Source organism: Homo sapiens, chromosome 2, assembly GCF_000001405.40.
Source record: "Homo sapiens chromosome 2, GRCh38.p14 Primary Assembly".
Lineage (NCBI taxonomy): Eukaryota > Metazoa > Chordata > Mammalia > Primates > Hominidae > Homo > Homo sapiens.
In genome coordinates, this window is record NC_000002.12 from 27,488,207 (window position 1) to 27,496,043 (window position 7,837).

General features: G+C 52.1%; 2 protein-coding genes across 10 annotated transcripts in view; both read right to left on the reverse strand.

Moving 5' to 3' along the window:
• Positions 1-1,537, reverse strand: part of IFT172 (intraflagellar transport 172) — a 45,367-nt gene extending 43,830 nt beyond the window's left edge. For all 7 annotated transcript variants that reach the window (XM_047443900.1, NM_001410739.1, XM_006711987.2 and 4 more), the window contains exon 1: positions 1,409-1,537. In XM_047443900.1, coding sequence (XP_047299856.1) covers positions 1,409-1,447 — 39 coding nt within the window. In that variant the 5' untranslated portion in view covers positions 1,448-1,537. The remainder of the gene's footprint in view (positions 1-1,408) is intronic.
• FNDC4 (fibronectin type III domain containing 4) lies at positions 3,677-6,994 on the reverse strand. 3 transcript variants are annotated; one of them, NM_022823.3, is made up of 7 exons: positions 6,672-6,994; positions 6,341-6,497; positions 6,145-6,260; positions 5,724-5,928; positions 5,183-5,272; positions 4,460-4,584; positions 3,677-4,272 (listed from the first exon to the last, which is right to left on the reverse strand). In NM_022823.3, the coding sequence occupies exons 2-7, from the start codon at positions 6,471-6,473 to the stop codon at positions 4,237-4,239; spliced, it is 705 nt and encodes a 234-aa protein (NP_073734.1). In that variant the 5' UTR covers positions 6,474-6,497; positions 6,672-6,994; the 3' UTR covers positions 3,677-4,236. The 3 variants fall into 3 exon arrangements, with proteins under 3 accessions (NP_073734.1, XP_005264556.1, XP_047301427.1); XM_005264499.5 differs by lacking the exon at positions 4,460-4,584; XM_047445471.1 differs by lacking the exon at positions 6,672-6,994 and having other exon boundaries at positions 6,341-6,592.

Here is a 7,837-nt window from a genome sequence, read left to right on the forward strand (position 1 = left end):
GCAGTGGCACGATCTCGGCTCACTGCAACCTCCACCTCCCGGGTTCAAGCGATTCTCCTTCCTCAGCCTCCTGAGTAGCTGGGATTACAGGCGGCTGCTGCCACGCCCGGCTAATTTTTGCATTTTTAGTAGAGATGGGGTTTCACCATGTTGGCCAGGCTGGACTTGAACTCCTGACCTCAGGTGATCCGCCCGCCTCGGCCTCCCAAAGTACAGGGATTACAGGTGTGAGCCACCGCACCTGGTCAAAATTTTTTTGTAGAGGTCTTGGAATCTTGGGCTCAAGTGATCCTCCCACCTTGGCCTCCCAAATTGCTGGGATTACAGGTGTGAGCCACTGGGCCTGGCCAGACATCTTATTCTTATTAGCTTTGTATTATTCTGTCCTTTGAATTTTGAATGTCCTTTCCTCTTGTCTATCAATTTTTCACACTGCTTTTCAGTTTACAATGCTCTTTTGTGTATATTACTCTATATAACTCTTCCCCAAGTCCCCTAAAGTTGCTATTAGTACTCATGTTTTTTCAAATGAAGAAGTTGGTGAGTGCTCCGAGACATTGTATAATAAAGGCTAAAGTTAGAGATATCAGGTCATTTGTTTAAAGTACTGGTGGCCAGTCTGGGCAACATGGGGAAACCTCGTCTCTACAAAAAACAAAAACAAAAACAAACAAAGAAACAAAAAATTACCCGGGCGTGCTAGCGCACGTCTGTAATCCCAGCTACTTGGGAGGCTATGGCAGGAAAATCCCTTGAACCCGGGAGGCGGAGGTTGCAGTGAGATCGAGCCACTGCACTCCAGCCTGGGCAACAGAGCAAAACTCTGTCTCAAATAGTTAAATAAAGTAGTGGTTGACCTGAAATAAGGACAAGGTAAGAAATTTTAAAAAGAAAATAAGAAAGTAGTGGTGGAGCTAGGACTTAAATTCTGGTGTGCTAACTCCAAAGCCCACCCTTTCTTCACCATGTTTCAGGGCTCCTCCCCTAGTGCCCAGCCTCTCCTGAATCAGAATACACGGTTCGGTCTTTGCACTCCCCCTTCAGGGCTTGCACCTAAGGCGCTTATTTAATTATGGGCACATGCATACTCGCTGCTTACATGTGCACCTCACCCTCTAATACGAGCCTCCTGAAGGGAGGGACATAAGTCGGGTGGTTTGGGATTCCTACGAACCCCAGCATGGGGCCTGTACACAACTGATGTGAATGAAATGTAAGGAAAGCTACAAGTCCTTAGCCCTGCATCTCGCCTCCTGGACGCTGTATCGACAGGCCAAGATCCAGATCATCGCTATATCCCTTACAGCCTTCTGCACACAGTAGGAGGTCAACATCATTAAACTTCAGTTCCCCCACTTTTCTTGGAACATAAAGCATAAGGGGGAGGGACTGGCACGCAATTCCTCACCTGAGGGCTCAGCAGGGTCCTCAGGTGCTTCAAGTGCATGACGCACACCTGTCTTTCAGATGCTCCTAGACAGCGACAACTCCCGTGGTTACCTGGACAACCCGCCACGCAGCCGCAGCGACAGGCACTGACGCTTATGCGACCGGAGCGCAACACGCGTCGCAAGGTCACACGTAACTTTGCGGCGAAGCAAACAGAACGTGCGCAAGCGCGGTGAGATCTAGGGCGGGCCCTTGAGAGGGCTTCATGAATGTTCTCCTTGACCAATCCCGTCGCCGCATGCAAACTCAAGACCAAGCCCCGCCCACAAGCCTTCAGCCAGCCCCAGGTCCTACGTCATAGCGGTCCGTCTCGCTCTTCGATGTACCTGACTTTCTGAGTGCACTCTCTTAATCCTCACAACTCTGGAGGGAAGCAGGGCGGTTTCCATGATAGGCCTTCTGCAGTTGACGGAATTGTACCCAAATAGGTTACATGATTTGCACGGGATCGCAAGGCTAATAACGATAGCTAACGATGAATACTCAGTATGTGTCTGCCAGGTACTGTGTAAAGTATTGTACGTGCATTTATATCATTTAATCCCAAAACCACCTTTTGAAGGGGATAGCGTTATTATTAGTCTCATTTTACATAACAGGAGACTCAGGGCACTTGCTCAAACTAACACAGCCAGCGAAGGACTTGGAACTGGAGTTCAACCCAGAGTTAGTAGCTTTAAACAGCTTTTATGTTCCTTCTCAACTCCTAGCTCGCTCTCTCCATGCCACGATACTATAACCTGTCACATTCCCATCCCAATAAATGACATTTATTCTCAGAATCTGGAAGATGAGTGTTTTGGAACTAGCTGCCAAAGAAACGTAAGGTACCCTACTTCCTAATTGGGTAATGGTGGGTTAAAGACTGCTGTTTACATTGGAATGTTTTTATGGTTCAGTTTGTTGTTGTTGTTGTTTTGAGACAGAGTTTCACTCTTGTTGCCCAGGCTGGACTGCAATGGCGCGATCTTGGCTCACTGCAACCTCTGCCTCCCGGGTTCAAGAGATTCTCCTGCCTCAGCCTCCCAAGTAGCTGGGATTACAGGCATGTGCCACCACGCCCGACCAATTTTGTATTTTTAGTAGAGACAGGGTTTCTCCATGTTGGTCAGGCTGGTCTCAAACTCCCGACCTCAGGTGATTTGCCCGCCTTGGCCTCCCAAAATGCTGGGATTACAGGCGTGAGCCACCGTTCTCGGCCTGTGGTTCAGTTTTGAGGGCAGACCTGACTTGGCTCACCCGATAGGTTGTCTTGTGATACCTGGGGTTAGAGATTGGTTAAGTAGAAAAGAGACTGACTTGTTGATCTTTGGAGTCCCGTTCAGAATTTTTGGCCTATCTTCTAACATACCAGAGAGATTGAAATGCAGAAAGGAGTTATTCATAAGCCTGCTCTGAAATGATCCAAAGTTGGGAAGATCTGTAACTCTCCAGGAAGTGTAACATATGCTCTCCAGACAGACTGTGGGTCCAGAAGCCTTCCCCCACAGTGGTTTGCAAGTGTCAACAGGTGTTTGTCTCATGGCCACCAACCACCCCTTAGAAAATAGGAAAGAGCAGAGGACAGCCCCTATTTTCACAGGAAACAAGTAGGCCTCAGAGCTCAAATGAGAATTATTTTGACAGGGGAGTCCCAACCCCTCAGTTTTATTTTCAGAATCCTCCTCTGGATATGGTGGCAGAGCATGAATATAAACTCATTTATGAATTACAGTTATTACTGACTTTGACTGACTAAACAGAGACAGAGATGAAAGGGAATGCAAAAGAGGGAAGAACAGACACAGGAACACATAGGATAGGAGCATGTGGCACCAAGGAATCCATGAGTGTAGCTGTCCTTTCATTAGTCCCCAAGACACTGCTTAGTCCTTTTCTGACCATTAGCCCAGGGTTGATGGAGGAGTCAGAAGAGTAAGTGGTGAGGAGCTGTGCTGTCGATGCAAGCAGTGAAGATAAAAAGGCTACTACCCTCTCATATGATATGTATTAGTATTCAGTGGTGCAGGAACTTATATCTTTCTCTTCTCTTTTTCCCCTTCTCACCCAACAAAGCAAAAGAATCTGGGGTTAGTTTTCTATACCTCTTCTTCCTGGCCCTATCCTAGGGTGGGGTATTATCACACCTTGCAATGCTCCTGTCAAGTAGGTGATGGTGTAAGGGGCCCTTGGAGGGTCAGGAGAGAGACAAGGTGAGGAAATGTCTTCAGCATACTATACAGTCAGCTCCAGTTTGTCCAAGAACCTTTATTGGAAAAATGTCCAACAAGTGATATCACTAGCAGCTGAAGGGGCTGCCAGGTGAGAGGGGGAGCACCTGAGGCTCCATGGAAGACATTGGAGTAGTGCAGTGCAGCATCTGCCTCTAGGGTCAGACAATTCCTTTTATTTGCTGGGGTAAGAGGAGTACCCACAGAAACACCCCTCTCTGAGGGCCAGAGGCAAGATGTGGGGCAGCTGGGGATGCTCAGAGTCCTGATACAGGTGAAATGGGGCCCCCATTTGGGACCTAATGGAGTAGGGTACAACTAGTGACTCTCCCCTGGACCGGGGAATGGAAGGAGATATCCCATCTGATATCCACTCCCCAGGTCCAGGGGCACAGACTCTGAACAGACCTACCTTCTGGCTCTGCTCACAGTGGAAAGAGGATGGGTACCAGGCCTGAGATTGTGGGAGTGGCATTACCCTCTGGGAGTCTCGGGCAGATCACCATCTTGGGCTCCCCCTGACCCCATCCCTATCCCCAGTTGTTAGTGCATCTCTCTTCTGGGTGTGTTTCTTCACTCAAACGTCGATGGTGTTGATAGATGGTGACTTTTTCTGTGAAAGAAAATGGCCTGAGTCTCAACTTCAGGAAGGTAATAGGTGCCACCCTTTCTCTCCAGCCTCCCCCATCCCAGATCTTCCATTCTCCATCTTTTTCTGCCCCTCTTTGACCTTCTTCCTTTCCCTGGCTGCCCCTCAGGGGCAGAATCACCCTTTCCGCCCTCACTGGCCCCCACATCACCTGTCTTGTCCCCACTGGCCTTCCCTGAGGACTCTGTTCCGGCCCCTTTCCCTTCTCCTTGGGATTGTTGTTGGAGTCATTGTCCTTGATGATGTCATACTGACGGCAGAACAGCCCAATTACAGCTGAAACACAATACAGTCTGAGCCTTCATCTCCACTTCCCCCCTCATAGGGAGATACCTACGTAGCTTCTAGAAAATCCATGAAGAACATCCTGAATTCCTGGTGCCCATGCAGTCCTCCTCTCTGGGCTCTCAACAGCCTCCTCTCCCTCTCTTCAAAGTTCAAATCATCCCTCCTGAACTAAGTATCTCCCCACTCCACTCTATTTCTCTTACTTTTTTTTTTTTTTTTTTTTTGAGACAGAGTCTCGTTCTGTTGCCCAGGCTGGAGTGCAGTGGCATGATCTCGGCTCGCTCACTGCAACTTCCACCTCCTGAGTTCAAGCAATTCTTCTGCCTCAGCCTCCTGAGTAGCTGGGGTTACAGGCGCCCTCCACCACACTCTGCTAATTTTTGTATTTTTAGTAGAGACGGGTTTCACCATGTTGGCCAGGCTGGTCTCAAACTCCTGACCTCAGGTGATCTGCCTGCCTTGGCCTCCCAAAGTGCTGGGATTACAGGCGTGAGCCACTGTATCTCTCACTTCTTTTTCTCCTGACAACCTTTGCCACCTCACACCTTTACTGAGTCCCTGGTCCCCTGTCTAGCTGCTTACTCACCAGCCCACATGAGCAACACCACCACAATGATGACCACTTCCCCAGTCTGCAGTGGCCGCTCTCCATCCAGACCTTCCACTGTGATGTCACCTGAGAAGGGAGAAGGCAGAAGGCAGACTCCAGGTTACTGGGGTCCATACTGCAGACATGCAGGATGGAGATGCTGGGGATTAGAAAGGGTGGACCCATCATAATGTTGCCCTTGGAGTGTAGGGTAGCCCCTCCCTGGGAGGAAGCCGTTGGTGGACAGGTGGTTAGCGACCAAAAAGCGGGATGGCTGCAGGTTAATTACTCACTCATGCAGGCTGCAGCTGATGTGAAGTTGGGTAACAGGAAGCTTAAAAGGCCTTCCCCCAAACAACTCAATACCAGCCTGTCTATACCCAATCCCCTTCCCACCTGCTTTTCTTTCCTTTCCTGGCAGTACAATGAATTAAATCATCCTATTCAACTCAGCTAGTCTGTTGCTTGTCTTGGGGAAGTAAGTAAGAGGCTGCAAGCCAGGTAAGCAGCCAGAGAATCCAATAGCACAGATCCTCACCTGGGCTTGAACTGTTTGAAGGTAGCCGGTCAGAACCCTTGAGAGTTCGGAAGTGCACCCGGGGCCCTGGGGGACTCTCTCCCCGAAGGCCGATGCTCCTGACCTGCACTGTGTAGTCACTGTCTTCAGCCAGGCCCCAGAGGGCACAGGCCCGGGTGGTGGTGTTCACCTCCCGAATCACACGCTGCCCGGGGCCATTCTGCCGCTGCAGGGAGATGAGGGGAGAGGAGGACAGCCTCACCCCAGTGCCAGGCCACAAGGCTCAACCAGAGACTCTTCAACATCCAAGCACTCCGGGGGAGTAGCGTGAAAAGGGCAGCCTGAGCCAGGATACGCCAGCTTCCAGATCCCCCCCACTTAAGTGAAGAAATGTGCCGAAATCCAAGGACACAGGTTGGGGGAGCAGAAGGGTGATTCATACTTGCTGGGAAATGGAGTAGCCAATGACGATGTTGCCTTCTGGGACGTCCCAGGACACAGTGGCCGAGTTGGCTCTGAGGTGAGTGACCGTCACATTCACAGGAGAGGGAGGCCGGTCTGCGGGAGCCAGGGTGTTTAACAGGTTTCACCCATTGACTAGCTGTGGTTGACCCTCAGCCCCGTTCCCCTTTACTTACCTGCTCGCACGAAGCCCAGGTCACAGCTGACCAGCAGGAGGACCGTGGGGCTTAGATATGGGGAAAGGGGCACCAGCGAAGCCATGTCCCCACGGAGTCCGCTGGGGGGGGAACTGTGGCATCCGCTTGGCATCCGCTTGACATCCAGGCGGGGCTCCTGGAGATGGCAGGAGTTGTGGGGGGTCAAGGACTGCCCAGAACGCACGGAGGTCGGGGGGCAGCAGCTCTCCTGGGCTCCCCACAGCTCACAACAGCCCTATTTTCTCTACGCCCTCCCGCCCCCGCATTGCCCGGGCGGCCCCAGAGTGCGGTCCGCCCTGCCCACACCCACCTCCGCCGGTCCTCGCGGTTGGTCAGGCCTCGGGGGGCTGCTCGGTGCCCAGAGGGCGGCCCATCGCCCGACTCGGTGGCGCTGCCCCTACCCCATCCCGGCGCGGGCCCGGCGACGCGGGCAGCGCGGGGCCGAGCTGCGGGCGGAGCGGGCGCGGGTCTGCGGAGCCCCCAGGGCTCGAGCGGGCCACGGAGTCTGTCCGGGAGCAGGGGGCGTTGCCCGGACGCTGGCCTGGGTCCCCGGTGCGGGAGGCAGTGCGGCGGCCTCCGCCCGCCCCTGCAGCGGGATGTGACCGTCCCGGAGAGCCAGCCGCCGCCTTCTGCAGCGCTGGCCCCGCTCGCTCCGCCGCAGCCCGGCCGGGACGCGCGGGCCCGCCCCGCCCAGCCGGGGTTCTCGCCGCCGTCATTCCCCTCCCGCCCCCTCACTCCCGTCCTCTCGGGGCTCCTCCCACGACCCTCCCAATGGCGCCTCCGGAGCCCCCATCCCTTATCCCTTCTCTCTCCCAGCTGAAGCGGACGAGTCGGCGGGGGCGTGGGGGGTGAGACGCGGGTGCTAGGGTCTCCGGCACCTGGGAGATCCCCTTCCTCCCCGCGTGGAAGAGCCAAGTTGGGAAGAGGAATTCCACCTCCAGTGCCCGAGGGGCTAACAGGAGAGGGGAGAGAGTGAGGGAGATAATAATTGCTTTAACAATCCCTTACTTGTAGACTGCGTCAGCTTTTAAGTCTCTTTTCCATTCATAATCTCATTTAATTCCGTTCGCTTTCTCATTCATTCTTTCATTTATTCACCAAATATTTATTGAGCATCTCCTATGTGTCTGGCATTATATTAAAACCTGGAGATACAGTGATTGTTAAGAGTGTTGGGCTTCTCGGGAGAATCAAAGCGCAAAGACCTATGGCTTTTTTAAAAAAATTATTATTCCTTTCTTTTCTTTTTTTGTTTTTCTAAAGCTCTACCACTTACGGTGTGGTTTTGGAGAAACTGGTTTATCTGTGCTTCAGGTTTCCCACCTGTAAAGCAAAGCGTGTGAAATCTCACAGGGTTGTTGTGAGGCTCAAATGAGACGGGAAAGATCTTTATAAATCTCACAACACTATGTGACTGGATGATGGAGATTAATTTGCACCAATCTGTTAGTTACTTCTTTGTTCAATAACATGTAA